This window comes from Homo sapiens, chromosome 8, assembly GCF_000001405.40.
Source record: "Homo sapiens chromosome 8, GRCh38.p14 Primary Assembly".
In the NCBI taxonomy this organism is placed as follows: Eukaryota; Metazoa; Chordata; class Mammalia; order Primates; family Hominidae; genus Homo; species Homo sapiens.
Genome location: NC_000008.11, coordinates 102093244 through 102116730, shown reverse-complemented (window position 1 = coordinate 102116730; position 23487 = coordinate 102093244). Strand labels below are relative to the sequence as shown.

At 40.9% G+C, this 23487-nt stretch overlaps 1 protein-coding gene across 12 annotated transcripts in view, besides 4 other annotated features; it reads left to right on the top strand.

Moving 5' to 3' along the window:
* Window positions 1-23487, top strand: part of NCALD (neurocalcin delta) — a 438366-nt gene that overhangs the window by 8177 nt on the left and 406702 nt on the right. The gene's annotated exons all lie outside the window — the stretch shown is intronic.
* Window positions 3745-4246: an enhancer, noted in NCBI's record as "NANOG hESC enhancer chr8:103124713-103125214 (GRCh37/hg19 assembly coordinates)". NCBI's record gives its function as "activates a minimal SCP1, AML or CMV promoter by ChIP-STARR-seq in naive H9 embryonic stem cells {active_cell/tissue: H9 hESC(naive)}" and the evidence as "EXISTENCE:reporter gene assay evidence [ECO:0000049][PMID:30033119]".
* Window positions 8619-8838: an enhancer, noted in NCBI's record as "active region_27743". NCBI's record gives its function as "activates an Ori minimal core promoter by ATAC-STARR-seq in GM12878 lymphoblastoid cells {active_cell/tissue: GM12878}" and the evidence as "EXISTENCE:reporter gene assay evidence [ECO:0000049][PMID:35858748]".
* Window positions 18691-18740: an enhancer, noted in NCBI's record as "active region_27742". NCBI's record gives its function as "activates an Ori minimal core promoter by ATAC-STARR-seq in GM12878 lymphoblastoid cells {active_cell/tissue: GM12878}" and the evidence as "EXISTENCE:reporter gene assay evidence [ECO:0000049][PMID:35858748]".
* Window positions 18751-18910: an enhancer, noted in NCBI's record as "active region_27741". NCBI's record gives its function as "activates an Ori minimal core promoter by ATAC-STARR-seq in GM12878 lymphoblastoid cells {active_cell/tissue: GM12878}" and the evidence as "EXISTENCE:reporter gene assay evidence [ECO:0000049][PMID:35858748]".

Genomic DNA, 23487 nt, shown 5'->3' with positions numbered 1-23487 from the left:
TTCAAAAACAGCCTGGCCAACAAGGTGAGACCCCATCTCTACCAAAAAATAAATAAATAGATAAAAATAAGTAAAAGAAAAAAAATTAGGCCTCTTGGCATGCACCCGTGGTTCCAGCTACTCGGGAGGCTGAGGTAGGAGAATCTCTTGGGCCCGGGAGGTGGAGGCGGCAGTGAGCCATGTTGACCCCACTGCACTCCAGCCTGGGTGACAGAGCGATACCTTGTCTCAAAACAACAACACCACCACCCTACAAAAGAAACCCAAAAAAGTCTTGGACACTTGGACATACTTTTTTTGGGGGTCACCACCATTCAATCCATGACAGAGCTCAGTAGTTAGGATACACGGCAACTATGGATTCTCTGACTCTGTTACGGTGCCCCTAGATTTGATTTACTGTCTGGATTCTAGGTTCCTTGACACACAGTAGAGGTTTTTGTTTTTGTTTGTTTTTGTTTTTGTTTTTGTTTATTATACTTTAAGTTCTAGGGTACATGTGCACAACGTGCAGGTTTGTTACATATGTATACATGTGCCATGTTGCTGTGCTGCACCCATTAACTCATCATTTACATTAGGTATATCTCCTAATGCTATCCCTCCCGCCTCCCCCCACCCTACGACAGGCCCCGGTGTGTGATGTTCCCCTTCTGACACAGTAGAGGTTTTCTAAATGCTTTTGATTTGATCATTTGCAACTTTATTCTAACTTTAAACAACAAAATAAACAAACACTTAAAATCTACCGTCCTTTACTTCTGAAATAAAGGGGTGTGAAAGAGGCTGTCAGAAGCCAGTTTGATCCCTGTCTCAGCTAAACGTTTTCTGGGCTTTGCTTTGCTGGATGGCATTGAAGGAAATGAATGGGAAAAAGAGCTGCCACTGGTCCTGTTCAGGCTTCTCACCTGGGGCTTTCCCAGATGCTTTTAGAAATATAATTTCTCAGAGGAAGGCTAAGGATGCTGGAGTCTTTCAGGAAAGGGAAGCAGAAGCAGCAGAGACTCAAGTTTCTAAGCCCATGCTTCAGGAAGCATCCACTACAAATATTGTTTGTGAATGCCATTGACCCATCCGCACGTCTTTTATTTATGTATTTTCAACAGTGAGCCCCAAAGTAGGGCCTGTGTACATCGGGCACATAAGGCAAGGTAAAGAGTAGCTTTGGCAATGGCCTGGAGAATTCGATGACTGTAGTCCATCAAATGAGGTGTATCAGAAAAGTCCACTCCAGGGCATCAATTATTCTGTTTTATTGTCTGCATTGATCGCATTAACTGGGGAAGAGCCAAAATCCATTCAGTCTGTGCTATGGAGTAGCAGGTGTAATTAAGGTCAGTTTCTCTCTAGGGGGCAGCTAATTTTGGTTTCTCAGCTGCTTTACAGTTTGACTTTAAAAGAGAGGAAGGAAAGAAAAAAAGGTAAAGTGCCCCTTCATGTTACCATCTTACCTATCCTACTGTATCATTGTTACTCTGGTTAATATTAACTTTGGATCCTTTTGCTTTAACAGTGTATCGGAATACTGTGATACTTACAGAATTTAGTCTCACTACCTGAAGAAAAGGTTTGCCTTGCAGGGGACCAACTACACAGTTTGTGGGGCTCACAACAAAATGAAAGTGTGGGAACTTTGTTTAAAAAAATTAAGAATTTGAAGATGGTGCTAGTGGAGGATTAATGCCAGCATGGGGCCCTGCTGAGTATGGGGCCTGTGTGATGGCACAGGTCACATGCTCATGAAACTGGCCCTGGCTTTGTGCATATGCTGAGGATGGTGTCCTTTTACCTACCTGGCACCTTAACTCCCAAAGAGTGACCAGGCCAGTTTCCTCTGCCTTGGTTGGAGCACAGCTCTTCTGTAGGGCAAGGGCAGTAAGAGGCCTGGATATCTCCTGTTGGCCCTTCCACATCCCTGGCTCCCTTCTCCACCTGGCTCTGTGCCCCAAGAGGTGATCTTTACCACTGGCGTCAATGGCCATCTTTTCTTCTGACTTCTGGTATAATTTGGCCAGAAATCAGCAGGAGACGGGAGGGTGGGAGGAGAGTGAGGTAGGGTATTTATTCCCCTGTCCCTCCACTGGGTTGCAAGCTGCAGCTTGGTGTGTGTGTGCTAAAGACCACAGCGCCTGCAGCTATCCTCTCCATATCGCCACCCTCTTTGGGTTCCTTCAGCCACTTCCTCCCCTCATGCCTTCAGGCCTAGGGTGGTCATGGCTTCCTGCTATTACTAGCCTTAGAGTCCTGCATCATCCTTCATTGCTTTCCTGAACCCCTGTATGACTTTCTTCTCAATAGCCTCTTCAGTAGGACTCCTCTGTAGGATTCAAGAGCAGCCTCTTTAGTTTTCTGGTTGGGCTTTAACTGATTTGGTAACCCTTGGACAGAGTTTGGCCACAGCTTGCTCTGCTGCAGGGCAGAAAGAGAGAAGCTGATGGCTGTGATAACACGTGACTCTGCTGGGCCAGCTCCTGGTAGGGATGGGTGATCAGAAGGCAGTACCTCCACATCTACAGTGGTGGAGAACGTATGTTTGAGAGCTAGACATTTGAATTCTCTGGCCTGACTTTGGGGAAGTCATCTCATCCATAAAATGAGCGAATGACAGCCCTTCACTTACAGGGCTGTTTTGAGCATGAAGCGAGATCACGTGGGCATCATGCTTGTCATAGTGCCTGGCACACAGGAAGTGCTCGAGAAGCATTGCTGCTTTTAGCATTAGTTCTACGGAGTGACCCCCTTGAGGGGATACACTCGCTACTCTTCTCTGATCTGAACTAAGGCACTGACAGCCTAGACTACACCAATGATTATCAAGTTTTCACTGATTCACGGTTGTTTGGGGTGCTATTTCTGTCTTTTCAAGTAGATTGTTCTGAAATTGTTCTTATCTTACATACCTTTTAAAAAACTAATATAAGTGCCCAACCCAGTAGGTAGCACATCATAACTGGCCAAGAAATGTTTCTTGGCTAAATATAAGACGACTACATAATTTATTGTTCACATTGGGACATTTTTGAGAGTGAAAGGGGAGGACTTTCCAGTAATTACAGCAAAACAGCAGGCACAAATGGGGACTGTCCTAGGCAATCCAGGTAAAGAAACATAGTTATTCTACTTAAGTGGGACTTAAGGCAGTTTTCAAAATACATTTTTAAAATTTGCCGGCCTACCATATTTTGTATTCGTCTGCCTTTGGTTTATGAAATAAAAACATGAGATTTGAAAAACATAGGCAAAAATATGTTTAACACTTCTAATAGATTCTTGGCCTGAATTTGAGGCAATGGGCCAGGGCCTCTTATCAGATAGAGACCTACTTTTACACTTTGTTACCCTGCTTTACACTAGGTACCTATTTATAAACTTTCTTCTGTGCCTGCTTTTAAAAAAGATAATCTCCTAATTATTGTCTTTCTTGCTATAGTGATCATTTATGCTTAAAGATGGCAAAAATAGATTTATATACATGTGTTTTTTGGAACATCTTTGTCTTTGTATTTCTGGTTGCCTGGGTGACATTTCCAAGAGAATATGTGCTAATCTGCTATTACTGAAACAGAGATAAGGTGGAAACTATTTTTAGGTCTGTCTATACCTTTCCTTTTCTCTCCTAGACCACTTAATTGGTTTATTTTTTTCTGTTTCCATTGTTTGAAGGGCATTCATAGCTTCTGTCTTGGTCCATTTTGCGTTGCTATAATGGAATAAGTGAGACTGGGTAATTTATAAAGAAAAAAGGTTTATTTGGCTTATAATTCTGATGTCTGTAAAAATTCAAGATTGGGCATCTGGTGAGAGCCTCAGGCTGCTTCCATTCATGATGGAAAGTGAAGAGGAGCTGGCACGTGCAGAGATCACATGGCCAGAGAGGAAGCAAGGGGAGGGGGAGGTGCCAGGCTCTTAATAATCAGCTCTCCACTGAACTAATAGAGTGAGAACTCACTTACCTCCCTCCTCCACCCAGGGAGGGCATTAATCTATTCATGAGGCACCCACCCCCACGACCCAAGCACCTTCCATTAAGTCCCACCTCCAACAATGGGGATCAGATTTCAACATAAGATTTGGTGGAGACAAACAACCTTATTTAAACTATAGCAGCTTCCTTCCTGTAGTTCTAATTTGGGGACTGGATAACTTTTTTGAAAACTGATGTAGTCATTCAGTATCTTCTTCATTCACAATAGCTAAATGTGTATTGATAGCCAATTTGTTTGGTTAGTTGATAACAATTTTTTTTTTTATCACAGTTTGTCTAAAACAAGCTTAGGCAAGGGATATTTTTGGTATAAAAAAAGAATGTGGAGGCAATCTGTTGTTCTCTGCTGGAAAAAGCACATCCCTTCTGGAGCTGGATTAATCCGGTTTTGGTCTTAGTATTGCCACTTATTAGCTGTGAGGCCCCTGGAGCTTGTATCTTCAGGTGACAACGGAAGCAATAATAGTACCTGCCTTATGGGGTTACTGTGAGGGTTGAGAGGGTTAAGTAGAATAACACATGCAAGGAGAAGATGCAGCATCTCACCAATAGAAGTGCTGATGCTGCTGTTCTTAATACCAGAGGTACAGGTGCACCCTACCTTTCAGAAAATAATCTCATACAAGGTATCACAAATATTTGAATTTCCTAAAGAGATAAATTAGGGAGATCATTATTTTCTTTACTAAAATGTTTTTGTTTTTATAAACATTTCAAAGAATTTCTTTCAGTGGTGAACATCCTTGGGTGTGTTTATAGTAATATTGAAATTAAAAAGTTCTAATTTACCCTAGCAGTTTTAGGCACATAACTGTAGTGTTATCACCCATAATTCAAATGTTCAAAGGCAGCCAGAGTTAATATTTGGGGTCTTTTCTTCCCCTATTTTTACGTAAAGATTTTTGTGAAGATGTATGTATCATTTATGTGTGATACATAACTGTAGTGTTATGTAAGAGATTTTGAACATTTATTTGACTGTTGCATGTGCTTGGAGGGGAGATATTTAGCCTAATTCCAATATTTGAGATAGGGCCTTAAATACTGCAGTTAGAGATCCGAGATGAGTAATTTGGATTATATGGCAAGTTTGAGAGGAGAGATGGACTTTAACGTGTTGTTATTTAAAACTTTTTAATATTGGGGTGTTGCTCTGGCTGGGGTTCCTTTGGCTCTCACTCTTTTGCGTTGTTATTGTATTTTTAAAGGCAGATTGCTGCACCATTGCTCTGGAGTTTGTCTTGCTGCCCTTGAGGATAGGGGAAGGAGAGAGGAAGCAACACTCAGACACACATGTGCACACCACACACACACACACACACACACACACACATCTCTTTAGACATATGATCTAAATTTTCTCAGTTGTTGGAAGTGGAGGCTGGGGATGTGGGAAGTCAGTGATGTTGAGTTCCCACCGCCTCACCCTTTGGAAGCCATGATGACCATTTCCATGCCAGGCCAAAGGACAAGCAGTGAGAACCAGAAGTCCATTCTAGCCTCTGAAGTTTCTTGGGAAAGCAACAGGAAGACATTTAAAGAATATGTTCCCTGGACCTTTGGTGCTGTTCCCTCTGTATCATTGTCCTCACAATTATCAAAGTAAGATATTATAAAATAAAATAAAATATGCACAATATAGAAAATTAGAAAGAAGAAAGAATCACTCTTGTTCCAAATATTCAAAGGCATCCTGGAGTATTTATTATCATTACTTAATATAGAGTTTTTTTCTTAGTTATGTAGTCATATTTATCTATTTTTTAAATTATTTTTTTCATTTAACCATACGTCCCAAACATTTTATCTTTTATTCTGCAATCTTTGTAGACAATGTTTTATTGCATATGTAATATTTCATTGAATGGATTATACCTCAGTTTACTTAGTCATTCTATTTTTGGTCATTTGGTCAACATTTTATTATACATTTTTTGCTATTATTATTTCTGTACGATAACCTTTTTCTCCTTTTAACATTATATCCTAGGATATAGTTTTAGTGAATTTAATAGATTGAAGGTTTGAACATTTAAAAAGTCTTAACACATTTTTAGCAAAAGCCAATTTACTTTTCCGAATGGGTTAGAGCAATTCATGTTGTGAGACTGTGTCGATTTCATCTTCTTTTACCATGCATTGACCATCATCACTTCAAAATACTTTCACTAACTAATCTAAGTGCCCAGCCTAGTAGGTAGCACATCATAACTGGCCAAGAAATATTTCTTGGCTAAATCTAGGGTGACTATATAATTTATTGTTCACATCAGGACAGTTTTGAGAGTGAAAGTGGAGTGCTTTCTAATAATTACAGCAAAACGACAGGCAGAAATAGGGACTGTCCTAAGCAATCCAAAATACTTTCTTTTCATTTGTATTTCTTTGATGACTAGTGAGGCTGAACATTTCTTTTTTATATTATTATATACTAGTTGCATTTCTTCTCTTCCTAATTTTCAGTTACATGTTCTTTACCATTTGATGTTTTTCATATCAGTTAAAATGAAAAAAATTTTCCTTCAAATTTTAAAAGTAATATATGGTTGTGATAACAAGAGAAACAATTCAGGACAAAGATCCACAAAGAAAAAGCTCTGATGGCTCGTTTCCTCTTCCAGGGAGCCAGTGTTAAAGGTCTGGGTGTTTCCCTACCTTTCTCCACAAGGAGACCTTTACAAGATCTGGGTGTAATTCAGATGAAATATTATATATGCAATAAAACATTGTCTACAAAGATTGCAGAATAAAAGATAAAATGTTTGGGACGTAGGGTTAAGTGAAAAAATAATTTAGAAAATTGATAAATATGACTACATAACTAAGAAAAAAACTCTATATTAAGTAATGATAATAAATACTCCAGGATGCCTTTGAATGTTTGAAATAAGAGTGATTCTTTCTTCTTTCTAATTTTCTATATTGTGCATATTTTATTTTACTTTATAGTATCTTGTATTTATGTGTGCACACAAATACACTTCATTTCAAAGATACAAAGGGGGCTTGATATTATGAGTCATAGTATACATATTATTCTGTAACTTGCTTTATTTTTTGCTTAAAATATATATTGTGGACATAAGATCTTTATCATAATAAAATGTCTTTGGCACATTTGTTACAAATATTTCCCCAAATATTAGTATATCACTTGCCCATTTGACATAGTTTGACACTGGCGAGTGGGCAAATGTTTCCCTGAAATTTATTCCACTGATGGGACAGCCTGCTCTGCACTTTGACAGGGTTTGCTACTCAGCTTTGCTGTCTGCTGGTTTTAAAAAATTCTTAACTTTCAAAAAAATCATTATTTAATCCAACTATAATTTATTTTTGTGTAGGATGAGGAGGAAATAAGGGGCCAAACTGATTGCTTTTCTCCTTTAACTTACTGATGAATTGTCCCATCACCCTTTATAGAATTAGGCTTAAAAAAAAAAAACCTTTCATTTCCATAAAGCAAGTTATACCTTTTATGTGTACATTTTTTTCAGCTATAAACTAGTGGTTTATAGCTAATAAACCAAATAATCAGGAGAGTATTTTTCTAAGGGAGGGAAGAATTTGCATTTACCTGGAATTAGGTAGTTACACTGAGAATAACCTGATTTCTCAGGCCCCAGATCTTTGCCTTGAACTTGAATATCAGGATGCCATGGGAGTGTGCGGTCTGAGAAGCTCAGAGTGCTTCTGCTAACGATTTCACATTTTCATCACTCCTGCATTGCTGTGAGGTAGGAGGGCCACAGATACGATCTCATTTTACAGGGGACGAGGCTGAGCCAATCTCAATGATTCACGCATGGTTATTCCTGCTTTCCAATCCGATAGTTCATTATATTATGTAATTCTGTCTGTTTTTCTGGTCGTCCTTCTGATTCCCTTTCTTAGTGATAAATCTGTGTTTGAAACTGTAATCTTGGTTAGCTACTTTGATCACTATAAGTAGAATCTTAAAAAGGGAGCTCTTCCAGGAGCATTATTATTATTATTCCTATTTAACAAACATTTATTGTGAACCTGCTCTGTCCAAGGCACTATGTCAGATGTGGGAAATACAAGGTGAAAAAAACACTTTTCCTCTCCTTGAAGAATTTACTAATTACTTTAGTATTGTTGTAGCTCCTGCTATCGTCCTTAGACTTTTACAAAAGGATATCAATATTTTGTGTTGCATCTACTCGGCTGCCTTGGTTGCAATGACGGAGGATGTTTTCTGTCCAGCAAGTCTCACGAGTGCATTGCGTGCTGTTTCCTATTCAGAGAACTACTGTGAGGCATTTAAAACACCTGAGGACTTGACCGATGCATATTTGATAAGCTCAAATGGTCTTAGAGATCTTCAGTGTCAGTGTCCTCTGTTTCTAAATAACTACACTTTTCAGCCCCAACTTCTCTTCCTTTGGGCATTTAGGTTACTCGACTGGTCAACCAGGATCTAAAAATAAACCTAGAAACTTTGAGAGTATTTTTCCCCCCTTGGCTGATTGATGTGTGTTTTTGTGTATGCCAAACTGTGCTGTGTAACTATTTACTTTTGCATTATGTATAGCACTTAGCAACCCACAGTGGAAATGAAAGCTAAGAGCACAGGCAGTCCCCAGCTGAGGCGGGGGAGCTGGCCTGCCCAAGTCTCAGCCAAGTCTCCTTCCCTCCCCCATCCTGTACCTTGCTGGCCTCTAGTTCCTGCTTTTTGCCTTCTCTGCTGGCGGCCAAGTGGGGACCAGGAGCAGGGGCAGGAAGGGCCCCTCCTGCCCCTACTCTTGCCCTTTGAGATTTCCCTCTGCAGGTCAGTGTGGGTGGGGTGAGGGGAAGGACACAGGCCTTGGCCACCACTGGCGTCTTGGCATTGGTGACAGTCCTGTAGGGTCAGAGGCACTGAGACGCTATGTCTTATTTGGAACTCTAAATGCATTTCCATAAAAGAAGGACACAAGTTGTGGCAGGACCCTCAAGACAAAACTATGTGACTTCTCAGGAATGCTTTCTTTAGGGTGACATAAGTCAGTGCTTACAATGTTGCTGTTAGAGGAGAATACATTCTAAATTCTGAACATTTCAGGTTAGAAAGAAACTTAGGACACGATCAGCTTGTAACTCAAGGGACTGTCTCTAAAGTCAAAAATTGGCTTATTCCCACATGAGAATGTCCCTTTACTTGGGACTTGGTAGTGTGCTGAATGAGCTCAGCCCTTCTTTCCTTAGCCCTCTTCTGTAGCTGTAAGAATACTTTAGTTCTCTGATTTTTAGAGTAGCAATTATACTAAAAAGTTCATACCTTGATTTTACCAGAAGGGTGGGGGAAAGGCCTTGAGGAATATAGATTTAATTCCTTGATTATTGCCTTTTAGAAAAGAATGCCAAACAAAATGTATCAGGGCCATTGTTAAAGACTCTTACTTTTTTCCTTAAGAAATCCAAATTTGTTCCTTTTTAGGACTCTCGTGTGCCTCTTATTCATAATGCATTTTGGGGAACAGATTTGAAGAATATTTCTATGTGTATATATATATATATATATATATATATATATATATATATATATATGTACACACATATATAGGCTGTAGATAAATAATTTTTTAAATTAAAAAGTTTCTTTGCAAGTTGATTTATATCATCTTTAGTAAAATCAGTTTTTTTTTTAAGGGCTGGAAAGCATACATCAGCAGTTCAGAATGATTAAATAGTACTTACTTGGAAAGGGACAAAGTCTGTGAACTTACTTATGTGGTTTTCACAGAAGGGGACAAAGCAGTAGAAGAATCAAAACCCTCCAGCCTCAGGTGAATTTTCTTTCCAACCTCAGAAGGGGTGGGCCCACTTGACACAGGAAGTGTCATAGGAGAGTGGTTTGAGTAATGAAAGAAAGCTTATGGATTGGGCTTAGCTGTTGTCTACATACCGAAAGACAGAATGGTCTATAGAAACTCTCCTAATTCCACAACCTCTGCATTTTTTTGCAGAGTGCATGCATTACACACAGGACACCTCCCCTACAAGAACAAGAAGCTGCAGAAATAGCTAGAGCTATAGACTGCAATTTAAGAGGAGGCCAAGCTTCCAGCAGTTGCAGACAAAGAGAGAACTCTTAGAGGCTGTCATGTCAGCCCTTGTATATGAAATTAACCAGCCCTGAAGGTTCAGTGCAGGACCCTAGAGGATCAGGGCACGCTGCAGGATAAGGATGAGAACAGGGATGTGTCCACACATCTGAGACACTTTCCTGTGCTACGCACAGCTGTAGTATATGTGTGTGTGTGTGTGTGTGTGTGTATATATATATATATATATATACTATATGCTAATAGTTTTACACGTACTGTGTAAAAATATATTTATACTTAACTATTTAGAAAATTGTTGTTCCGCCAGGTATGGTGGCTCACGCCTATAATCCCAGCACTTTGGGAGGCTGAGGCTGGAGGATCACATGAGGTCAGGAGTTTGAGACCAGCCTGGCCAACATGGTGAAACCACCCCCCCTACTAAAAATACCAAAAAAATTAGCCAGGCATGCTGGTGCACACCTGTAATTCCAGCTACTTGGGAGGCGGAGGCAGGAGAATTGCTTGAACCTGGGAGGCAGAAGTTGCACTGAGCCGAGATTGCGCCACTGCACTCCAGCCTGGTTGACAGCGTGAAACTCCATCTCAAAAAAAAAAAAAATTGTTGTTCTAGATGTGCCCTCTTGGTGGTAAAGGACTAGGATGTCACTCAAACTAATTTGAGTAACGGAGGTTCTTGTAGCAATGACTACTACTCTCATTGATTCAGACCTCACTATGTGCCAGACACTGTTCCGAGTATATTATCTCACGGAATCTTCTCGCCCATCCTGGGAGGTAGTGTGTTATTATTCCCATTTTACTATGGAGGAGCAGGCATAGAGGATGTTCTCTAAGGCAGGTGTGTGCGAAGTGGGAGTCAGGAGTCGCACCCAGCAGGTCACTCTGGAGCCATGATTTCTAACCACTATTCTAGACCTGTTCCTGGAATAGATTCCATGACAGTGAATCAAAGTACAGCTGGGCCTCATGGGGTTCAAAACAAGGGACTGGAAAATCGGGAATGGAGCCATTTTCTTTCTCAGAGGTCATGTGGTCTCTGCTCAATTAGCCCCTCTTCTTCTGTCCTATCTTGTTTCTTTATCTTACGTATGGCCCCTGAAGGGTCAACCAAACCCATAAGTCTGTACCATGAGACTTCAATTTCCCTCAGCATGTCCTGGCATAAATCTATAAGCAAGAGATTCCTATTAGTCCAGCTCACTGAGAAAGGCAACACAAGCTGTTGGAGCCCGGGCAGCAAAATAATTACCTGCCTTTGTGTTGCTGTTTATCTTAGTTTCATTGGTGGCCATTTCCCTGAGCAGGGGATTGTGGGAAAGGCAGTGCACACTGGAATGGGAAGTGGTTCATAGCAGGAAATTAACATCTCTGGTACAAACTCATTTTATACTGTGATAAACATTTTTTGTTATCTTTACAAAGTTTCAACTTAAAAGAATCTGTATGTATCTATAGCTATACAGTCTGTATCTCTTTAGGTTACAAATGATAGAAACCTGATTCAAAGCGGCTTAGAAAAAAAATCAAATTAATTGGTTCATGTGATTGTAAAGGCAAAGGCTGGCCCGTATCAAGGTCTCAAGCAATATTATCAGAAATCTATCTCTTGGCTCTGTGTTCCTCTGGATTGATTTTATCCTCAGGCACGTCCTCTCTACATTATATCGAGATACCATCAGAAGCTCCAGGCTTATCTGTTCGCTGAACAATCCCAGCAGAGAGCTTCTCTTTCCCCATAGTTACTGCAAAGTTCCCAGGTTTGATTCTCATTGCCCTGAATTGGTTTCATGCCTATTGTTCAACCAAACATGGCAGGCAAGCTGATTGGTCAGGCCTGGGTCATTGTCCATCCCTGGGAAGGGGTTAAATCTCCTTCCACTCCCCACACATGCATTGAAGCACATGGACTGGGAATGGGGGAGTGTGGTCTCCCGTGACAATTGACATGTTAGTATTACAAGAAATGGGAAGGGATACTGTCCATGCAAAAACAACCCACATCGCTACTGAACATTTGCAGGTCTATTACAAATAACTGGACAGCTGTAATAAAGGTTTTGGGGCCCAGGAAAAGCAGACTGGACCACAGGCTGATTCTTATGTGACAAATTTAAAGACCTAGGAAATCCCAAGTGCAGGGGTAGGCCTACATCCTCTGTGGTTTTTTTAGGTTATAATTCTGAAAGATGATGATATTAAGTCAAAGAAAATGGTTATTGGATTTGCAACTTTTTGAGAAAAACAATCACAGGATGGTTTTGTCTTTACTTTTTGATCAAGCAGAAGGATAAGACTTGAAGGGCTCTTGCTAGGTGCCCCCTATTTGAAATCTAAGCTGTTCTGGCATTAAAATGACTTTGGTAAATTACATACAGGCTTTGTGTAAACCTTCACAGTGCCTAGGATTTAAAACCCAGTTTATTTAGCTAATGATTAAAATCCCCAGTTTATATATCGATGATCTTAATACTCACTGGGAAATAATTGCTTGGTTTTTAACTATATAATCAGGAACCAAGTATATAATCAGGGACTTGAAGTCGTGTGGAGGTTAAACCAGCAAGTCTTCACGCGTGCGGATATAGTTTGAGGCTACGCGACCTCAGATGTTCAGTAGCAGTTTGTGTGTATGTGTTTGTATGCGTATGCGTGTGTGTATTTGTAGATATAACTTTGTACTAACAGAATTGCCGTGTCTCTTTGCTTACTCCACCTGCTACAATGATCCCAGATGTCCATTGGAACAAATTATCAGCTTATTTTGCCTATCAAATTTTTCAGGCAGTTGCCTTCTCACTTATTTAAAAACTTGTATTTAAGGGATTAAAAAAGTCCCCTCATATGCCAAAATGTTTCTCTTCTGTTGATTTTCATGTAATGTTGACTTTCATATTTAACAATTGTTATTTCTTCGCATGCTGTTTTGAGGTTTTTCAATTGCAAACAACAGTGAGATAGGCATTGAGGGGGTCAGAGTGCCTCCCAGCTACTCTAGAGGCTGAGGCAGTAGGATTGCTTGAGCCCATGAGGTCAAGGCTGCAGTGAGCTGTGACTGCACCACCACCCTCCAGGCTGAGTGGCATAGTAAGACCATGTCTCAAAAAAAAGAAAGAAAAGAGAAGAAAAGAAAACAAAAACAACCAACATGGGCTCTAGGGTCTGACTGCCTGGGTTTGAATCCTGGTGGTGTCTTGCTAGCTGCGTCACTATGGGCAAGTTACTTAACCCTCCTGAGCCTTTATCTCTAATAGTTTTATATAATTTTCCTAACACTGTGCGGTATGGACTGTCATTATTCTCTCTTTTAAGAGAGAATTGGGTGTTAGGGAAATTATATAAAACTATTAGAACTGTGCCCATCCTGTAGTAAGCAAACACTCACTAGGTGTTAACTTATTAATAGGATTTGAACAGGCAGAGAAAGGGTAGAGTGTGTTTAGGGAGAAGAGAGGTGGCAATCGTTGGCAAGTACAGTAGAGGGGAGGGAAGGCACGGGGACAGCTGGGAGGTTGGCGTGGAGCTGAGTCCACCAAGGTTCCTTTCCTCTGAGTCTGTATTTTCCACAGAGTCTCCCCTTACTCATCTGGTTTCCCCAAAAGGACTTCAAAACCCAAGAGAAGCATATCTGGATCCACCCGACAATATGTTTCCCAGGATACTCAAGTAAAGTGGCCTTCTGGTTTATCAATCAGCGTCTTGAGCATTTAGTTGGCATGAGTTGGTCCCCTAGGGTCTCATCACTCCCGAGTGAACTGATAAAATCAAATTCCTGCATGTGCAGAGCTGAGGACCAGGCCTTGGACCTGTAGTGACCCCTGAGGGGCACAAGAATTGGGAGGCCCAGCTGGAAACCGAGAGCTCACCCACCCCTCTCTCTCTCCTCTCCCTTGATCTTGCCATTAAACTTTCATAAATGCAACGAACTGCATCCGAGACATCCGCTGGGGTTGGGCAGAGCCTGGTGTGCAGAAGGAGGAGCTCAGGAAGTGCTTCGGCAGTGGAGGAAGAACGCTCGCTGCTGCTGAGGCAATGGGCAGTGGAGCGGGGCTGGGGGGTCATGCCTCGGAAGCTGGGCTCCGGGTTCTGCTCCCTTTTTCCACTTGCTAGGTGCCTTTGGAAAAATCCCTTAACTGAGCCTCAGATACCTCATCTGTGCAATAAATACCAAATCTGAAGGCGGAAGACTGCTCCATGTCCTCTGGTGTCCCTGCCAGCTCTGACGCATGTGCCATAACAAGGGGACCCCCAGCAAGGGTTAGGGGTATTAGGGCACAAAATGTTTCCTCCCTGTGGAACTCAAGGGGAGCTGCAGGGTAGTTTCTGCCTCCGTCTCTGCGCTAATTGCTTCACGTTTGCTTTCCTCGTTGCCGTATTTGAAATGTGAGCTGTGTTGTTGGGTGGAGCGTTAATTGTGACAGGAGGATGGACACAATTTTTTTTTGTATTACCTGCTGTGCCCATCACAATTCTGAGCATTGAAAAGGTGCTCAATATACATTTGTTAAAATGAATTGAATATTATTGCCTAGCAATCAATGAATTACATCACATTCTTACTCAAAAGACATTATGTGCTTCATTTACAGTATAGCAATAATAAGAAAAACACTACAAATAAAATTGATTATTTTGAAGAATAGAGGATGAGTTTTAAGAGCTATGAGTTCTGTTTCAGAGTTGCATTTACTTAGTTACAACTCATGTTAGTTTGTTATAAGATGCTTTATTATTTAGAAGTCATTCTCCCACCCCCAGCTTCAACTCCATAAGATAGAAAATTAAAACATTGATTTTGTTTTAAAATTCAGGCTCCCACACAGCCCCATTTGTAAGAGTGAGAGGTGTTAATACTGCTAAGTTGCCCTTCATGTAATTTGGATAAATGCTGTTCACATCTTTATTATTCTACCCTTTCTTCAAAGGGGCATTCATTTCTAGTCTGAGACTAATGTGGGAATCTATTACACTGGTCAATAAATGAACAGCCTGTTCTTATACATACAAGAATTCCAAAGGCTCTCATTTTAGCCACACAAAAGGAAAACAAAACACACACATAAAACACCCCATTTCCACTTGTTCAAAGCTTCCGAGAATAAGGTTATGGTTGCGATATATTCCTAGGCCTTCCTTTGTGAATGCATACAGCAACACAATCTGGAAATAATTGCCTGCACAAGCTAATACTGTTAGGACTCGGCTTTCTGCCCTGGATCCAATGCAGCCTTCGTTTATAGAGGGCTGCTAATTCACCACTAAACCAGGTAGTCCACTAGAGGCCTGCAGACACCCTTTATTTGACTTGCAGTGTTTTAAAAACTTTTTAAAATTTGTTGCTAACTTAAAAAAAAGAGGATATTTTATAAAAATGCGGATTTCAGGCTTCTCCTGAAAAATCATAATATCCACATATAATACTGGGTCCAGTTCCTGCCTGACAGCAATTGGAGAGCTGAGTGATGCGTGTTCTCTTTAGAGAGGACGCGTGCACACTGGTCCTCACCCTTCTGTCTGTCACACATCCTGACTGGCTTCACGTGCCCATATGTCTGCCTGCTCCTTTAAGCATTTTTGAGGGTTTTTGTTGCTGGTCGTGGTATAAAATATGCAAAACATAAACTTTACCATTTTAACCATTTTTAAATGTACAGTTCAGTGGCATTAAGTACATTCACATTATTGTGCAACCATCACCACCATCCATCTCCAGAACTTCTTCATCTTCCCCAACTCAAACTCTGTAACTTACCATCAAACAACAACTCCCCACTTCCTCCTCCCCACAGCCCCTGACGACCACCGTTCTGCTCTATGAATTTGACTACTCTAGGCACCTCATATAAATGAAATCATACAATATTTGTCCTTCTATGACTGGCTTATTTCACTTACCATAATGTCCTCAAGGTTCACCCATGTTGTAGCATGTGTCAGAATTTCCTTTCTCTTTAAGGTTGAATAATGTCTCACTGTATGTATATACCTCGTTTTGTTTATCCACTCATCTGTTGGTGAACGTTTGGGTTCCTTCCACCTATTGGCTAATGTGAATAATGCTGCCGTGAACATGTGTGTAAACTCTCTGAGTCCCTCAAGCATTTATGTTTCTTGACGATTTTCTCAAAAATTTCCCAGCTCTGCTCTTGTAACTCCAGCTTTTGTTTCTCTCAGTGGTGCCCCAAAGCCTAAACATTCCAGGACTTCAGCTTAAATAATTAACTTTTGAGGAAGCATTGAAAAACATTGAAAAAGACATCTCATGAAAATGACTTGGATTCTTTAAAATTGTTAAAAGTAGTTGCTGTGGGATTTTCAAGATTTAATGTCACATTAATAAAAGAATCTGGATATAACATTTTGTGATTTATTCCTCCTTGAGTTTAGTTATGAAAAGCTCCTATTTGAGGAAGAAATTTGCAATATATTTGATTGTTTTGATCTGAACAAAACTTGTTCATCTTGGTTTGTGTGCTATGTATGCTGAAGAGGCCTTTTGTTGTAAGTGTTGATAAATGAGGAATATGAAAATAATTTAGGTTTTATTTCTGAATTTTCATGTTGCATTAAGCTAGGAAAAGTGTGATTTTTTTTTCAGTGAGTATTAAATGGAAAGGACAAAACAAAGTTTTTGCTCTTAGTTTTCAGAGACTGCTATTTCTTTTTCTTCTTCTTCTTCTTTTTTTTTTTTTTGAGACAGAGTCTTGCTCTGTCTTACTCTGTTGTCCAGGCTGGAGTGCAGTGATGCAATCTCAGCTCACTGCAACCTCTGTCTCCCGGGTTCAAGTGATTCTCCTGTCTCAGCCTCCTGAGTAGCTGGGATTACAAGTGTGCACTGCTTTGGTAATTTTTTTGGTAATTTTAGTAGAGATAGGGTTTTTTTGGGTAATTTTAGTAGAGATGGGGTTTCACCATGTTGGCCAGGCTGGTCTCAAACTCCTGACCTCAGGCAATCCACCCACCTTGGCCTCTGAAAATCCTGGGATTATAGGCGTGAGCCACGGTGCCCAGCTGAGAGATTGCTATTTCTGATTTTTTTTTTTTTTTATTAATGACAACATCAACCTAAATGTCATTATCTGACAGAAGCACATGGCAATTCAACTTCATTATTGTGGGAACAAAATCTTGATGTCAAGATTTAAGGATCAATTGTATATCTTGATATGGGCATATTGTCTCTTGATAAGGACTTGGCTCTCCCTGTTTACTTATGTTAAAATGAATACATTTAAATTTCAAGACATGTAGGGGAAATCCCTAAAGTTAAGATCTAACATTCTTGTCTCATCTAAGTGTGTTGCACTTTGGAATGTTCTTTTCCACCTGCTCCCCATTCTCTAAAGATACTGTTAGTGACTGTGTGAAAGAATTCTTTCCCTTGACAAGTCTTTGGTGCCTTGGACTATTGGTGTAGCATGGATTAGTAAAGGAGGCCATTTTTACTACTCAGGACTGTTTTGTTTGCAGGAGACAGATATCTAACTCAAATTGCTTAGACAAAATAGCTTGGATAACTGAACATTCCAGAGATGGAATTCAGATCCATTTGGATCAAGGTATACAAAGAATGTTAGGAACCTGTCTTTCTCACACTTTCTACCTCCCATCTCTGCTTTCATCTGTGTTGACCGAATTCTCAGTTGGTTCTCTCCAATAGGGAAGCCAACATGGCCATCAACAGCTCCAGGTTCACAACACCCTCACAATTAACAAGCTTAGAAAAAGGAAAAAAACTTCTATAGTAGCTCTGACAAAATTACCAGTGAGAGATGAAGTCAGTGTTGGGTTACATGCTCATCCCTGAGCCAATCACTGTGGCAGGGGATGAGTATCATAAGTGGCCAAACCTAGTTCATGTGGCCATCATGGTACAAGAAACTGAGGAGTGGCTGGTTAAATTCCAAGTGTTTGGGAGGGCAGGGTCTGGTGCCCTCCCTCCTCATAGGGAAGGCAGGGTCTGATGTCTGAAGAAGAAAAAAGATGCTTCAAAACTCTCTTAGGGGAAAGACCAGTTTTATTCATCCTTGTTTCTTTTAGGGTGAATGACACGAGGCCTACCAAAGTTGCTCAATTATGGTTGCTGATTAAATGAATGTATAAGGAGTGATTTAAGAGAGTTTAATTGAAGAATTATTTCTATGGGGTCAGCAAGGTTAAGGGAAACCAGTGAGGGATGATGCAGCCCCCCAGGGCCAGCAACTTGGGAAGCTGTTAGAATCCTCAGGCCAGAAGAGGCCGGGGAGGAAGAGTTCCTTGAGAAAGGATTAGCTGGAGAGGGAAGACTGGCAGGAGCTGAGCCTGGGGTTAGAGGAATGCACCATTGTCAAACTGGGGCCTGGTGAGGAGGAAATGGGGAGGATAAATACCCCAATTGCTCTCTCATCCCACCCTCCACCCTCTGCAGTCCTTCCCATTACCCCAGCCCATCTAGAAGCCAGAGGTAAGGGGACATAGTTAATTTAGCACATGAAGATCAGTCTCCAGGGATCTGGATGGGCAACTGGAGGTCATCCCAATCTTCTTTCTCACTCTCAGTTCTCTTTTGACTTAGTCCTAAAGCATATCTTGGATGTATTCACGCCCCACCCACCACCTTTCATACCCAAACACAGACTATACTTATTTTACTGCCTCATGCCACATGCCCTTTGCAGGGGCACAGAGATGGCTGTGCAGGAAGTGCCTTGCACATTGTGTGAATGACGTCTTCTGAAACTGTCGATTCACAGCGTGTTCTGTGGCCTGGCCTTTGCATTGCGTTGTGATTTGTGTTGGCTGCTGGTGAGGGTGGGAGAGTTCAAGGAAATAAGAAACAGATAGGGTGAAGGCTTGTCATGTCATCATTTAAAATTAGGAAATAATGGCCTGTTTAGTTTCAGGGGTGAAACTCTGATTTCTCAGGTTATCAGAGAGATGCTGTCAGAGCAGAGAGCAGGAAGACCAAGGTTTCAGTGCTAAAAATGATGAAATCAGTTGATAAGAGTCTTGTATAAGGAGGTACTTTTGAAAAGAGGTTATTGATGATTGCCAGAGAGGGATGCTAACAAGTAAGCAATATCCAGCTTCATGGAGGCATCCAGAACTGCTGGCCTTGGGCTTCATGACCCACGCAACTTCTGATGAAACAGCATCTACATGTCTCACCGGGAAGGGATCTGGAATAAATATCTTATGATGAGCCACAGAGCAAGCCACACAGCACAAAGCCAAAAGCAAGTAATAATATGGTCACCATGCACTTAAGCACCCGCGTGGTTGGAACTGGGTGTGGGGGACTTTGGTTGTGAGTAAGGACCCTGGCTCACAGGCTTGTTGTGCAGATGCATGAAATAATAGGTGGAAAATGCTCACAGACTATCAAGTGCAGTGTGAATGTTAGATGCCATGAATGAACTGATTCTTTGTCTTTCACTATTTTTTTTTCTCCTGTGCTAGTTCCTCTGTGGTTCCTAACTGTTAGTCTCACTTTTTAAAAATGTTTAGGCTGTGGGACTTAGGTAAACGAATACTATGAAATGTAGGTAAGCTATCTGGGAACTGGTGGTCTTCTTAAACCTCTAACATACATGACTTCTGGTGATGCTCATGTTTTCAGGGCTGTAATTGTATTTCCCAGAAGTCATCCACTATGTTTAGTATCTTTCCCCTTAAAATTCTTGTGTTGAAGTCTTAGGCCCCCAGTACCTCAGAATGTGACTATATTTGAAGATAGGGTCTTTAAAGAGGTAATTACGGTAAAATGAGGTCATCTTGTTACCAGTGGAGGGTGTCCAGGTTCTTGGCATTTTGAACAAATAATTGGACAAAATGCACAAAGCAGGGAAAGAATGAAGCGACAAAAGCAGAGATTTATTGAAAACAAAAGCACACTCTACAGGGTGGGAGTGGGCCCCAGCACAGGGGCTCAAGAGCCCAGATACAGAATCTTCCTGAGTCCAAATACCCTCTAGGGGTTTCCCATTGACCACTTGGTGCTCACCTCATGTAAATGAAGTGGTGGCCCGCCGTCAGTCTAATTGGTTGCAGAAAGCAATCAACCAGAGGCTGAAGTGAAGTTCCAAAGGTCACACTCCTATGCAAATGTCTGATTGGTTGCAAAAATCAACCAATCAGAGGTACTTTCAATTTCCCATCTGCTGTGCAGAAAAGGTGGGGGTTTGCAAAGGGAGTAGTCTCTGGTCCTTTTGTTACTTAGGCTGGAAAGTTAGGATTTTCCTTTCAATTCAGTTCTAGGAAGTCAGCATGAAATGGTCTTAGGTTCCCTGCCTCCAGACCCTATTTTCCTGCCTCAATCCTGGTGGGCCCTGATCCAATACTGGTGTCCTTATCGGAAGAGGAGATTAGGACACAGATACACACAGGGGAGACAACGTGAAGACACAGGGAGAGGAAGGCCACCTACAGTCAAGAGAGAGGCCTTAGAAGAAACCAACCCTGTGGTTGTGAGAAGCCAGTGTGAGTGCTCTTGAAAACTGATCTTTGCTCTTCAGCCTGCTGGCCTTGTTTTAGCCTCATCCCTTGGACCAGTATTTACCCTATAAGATTCTTCTTTGAACTTACCTTTTGGATCTTTGGATCAGTTTTCTGCCCTTTAGTGCCTGCTCATGTGACCATGCTCTTCATTATTAGAGGCAGGGGGACAAATGTTCAGGTTTACCCAGGCCTGGGGAGATTCCTGGGATGCAGGACCTTTAGGGCTAAACCTGGGATGTTCCTAGGTAAACTGGAATGAGTTGTTCACCTTGATAAGAGAGAAGCTTTGGCAAGATTTATTTATTTTGGCTTACTGGCTTTGTTGAAAGGTGACTAGTCTAACAGGATGTTATAACTATTGTTACAATTATTGTCTTTGAAATGTTTATACACATACATTTAGAAACTATTTTGAAATGGGTGCTTCCACCATGAGGTAAGCCAAATAATGAAAAAACCATCTTCAGATACCTTTCACTTCCATTATCTCCTACTTAGTTTCATTTTAACAAGAATACTGTCTTGGCTTGGGTTTCTATTATTAATAATTTCATACATTTCAGGGTGTACACGTTGAGTAATTATCTCCCCAATGCTTCTAAGCATTCGTGTCAGTTAACTGAACCTTTTAATGAACCCACTAACAATGTCCTTGGCATTGTATAAAATATAAAATTGGAGCCAGTCCCTAGTCAATGGGTTTTAGCTGGTCCGAGCCTAACAGATGCTCAAAATCAAAACACAGGTCCAAGTTGGTTTACCTTTTATGGCCTCATTTTGGGCAATTGGAAAAAAATGAGGTGTTCAGTTCTTTAGATCAAGTAATGAGGGCTCCTGCCTCACCATCAGAACACGTGTTCTTTATTCACATCTCACTGGCCCAGCTCAGTTCTTTAGCACAAGCCACCCACCACATGTGGTCCTGCCTCCCTCACTCCATCTGCCACCCTCTATCTCTCGCACCCTTCTCAGTGTCTTCCTGGATGGGGCAGGAGGAAGTATTGGACACATTCCCAGCTCCATTTGACCATAGTACCACCCCCATATCATGTGACATGGGCCTCACTTTATACTCAACAAAACATACGTTATTGCTAAAGCCAAGGCAGGCTGAAGTCCAAGCTAACTTTTCTGTTAGTTTTCCAGGGCTACTGCAACAAATTAGAACAAATTGAGTGGCATAAAACAACAGAATTGTATTCCTTTACAGTTCTCTGGAGGTTAGAAGCCTGCAATCAAGATGCCAGCTGGGCCCTGTTCCCTCCAATGGCTCTAGGGGAGACTCTTCTCTTGCATCTCCCTAGCTTCTTGTGGTTTCCAGCAATCGTTTGTGTTCCCTGTCGTGTGGACACATCACTCCAATCTCTGTCTCCATCTTCCTATGACATTCTTATCTCTGTATGTCTGGGTCCAGATTTCCCTTTTATAAGGACACCAATCATTGAATGAGAGACTTCCCTAATCCAGTATGAACCCATCTTAATTGATTACATCTATCAGGACTTTCTTTCCAAATAAGGTCACATTTACAGGTACTAGAGGTTAGGACTTTCGAAGATAAAATTCAGCCCATAAGAATGTCTTACTGTAAATCCCATGAAGAAGAGCATTTGCTCATTAAAAGGACTTAGTGAGATCTCAACCACACACTCAAGATACTAGCAATCGCTGGCTTCGAAGCAGAATGGAGTAGTGGAAATAGTACAGGATGTGGAGGCAGATGTGTTTAAATCCCAGCCTTAGTACTTGTTTGAGATACCTTAGGCAGATCACTTCCCTTTTCTGGTCCTCAGTTTCCTTATTTATAAAATGAGTACAGTATCTACCTTACAGAGCTATTGGGAGGTTCACGTAAGACGATTTATACAAAGCATCTGGTACAGTGCCTGGTACAGACTAAGTGCTCATTTAATGCTATTTCCTACTTCCCTTTTAAATTGAGCTGATTTCATGTAAATAAAGTTGCAAATTTCATAGTATTCTTAATAGAATTTAGAAGTAAAAACTCTCTGGCTAATATTAAGGTTATTAGCCAGTCTGAACATCATCTAAGTTTTGTATTTGAAGAGTGATCCTTTTAGAGTGTGATTGATAATTTTGGATATACAATAGGAAATGCCTTTCATCATGAAGGGGGTGGTGAAATGTCCATCACTGGATACTTTATAGATAATCAAATACCCTGGCTCATTTATAAATAATTGCCTTAGGGATGTGACTGGAATTGATTAACCCTGATGAATTCTTGCCACTCTGGGCTCATCTATCTTATCTTCAGGAATTTGTAGGGTATTAAGGTATTTAAGGGCAGAGTTTGTTTCTTTTCATTAACTGTCACATCAGTTAGGAATTGTGTTTGATTGCAGGGTGGAGAGCTGACTTCAGTGGCTCAAAAGCACAAGGGTGTGTTTTATTTGCTCTTAGAAAAAATACTGGCAGGTAGTAAGACCAAGGAATGTATGGCTATGTTTTGGTCACTGGGGACCCAGGAAACTTGTGGTTTTCTGTTCCATTTTTACTGCATATTTTTGTTCTTAAGACAGCTTTATAGTCCAAGATGGCTTTTGGAGCTCAAGCCAATGTCCCAGGTAGAAAGATGGAGAAAAGAAGAAAGAGGCAAAGGGCCATCCCTCCTAGCTGAGTCAATCCTCTTGAGGATCTTTACCCAAAACCTACCTTCTGTTTTTGCTTTATTTGTTTTTTAATCTTACCAACCTTACTTACCTTTAAGGAAAGCTGAGGGAATGTAAATATTTTTAGCTAGGCACTTTGCTACTCAATAATGTAGATAGGAGAGAAGGGATATGTTGGCAGCTAGCAATCTCTGAGTCAGTTCTCTCAATGCATTTGATAACCCCCTTCATGATGAAAAGCATTTCCTACTGTCTAATCAAACTATTATTCAGACCCCAAAACAGTCACTCTTAAAGAACAAAAAGAGTAGTTCTTTGTAGA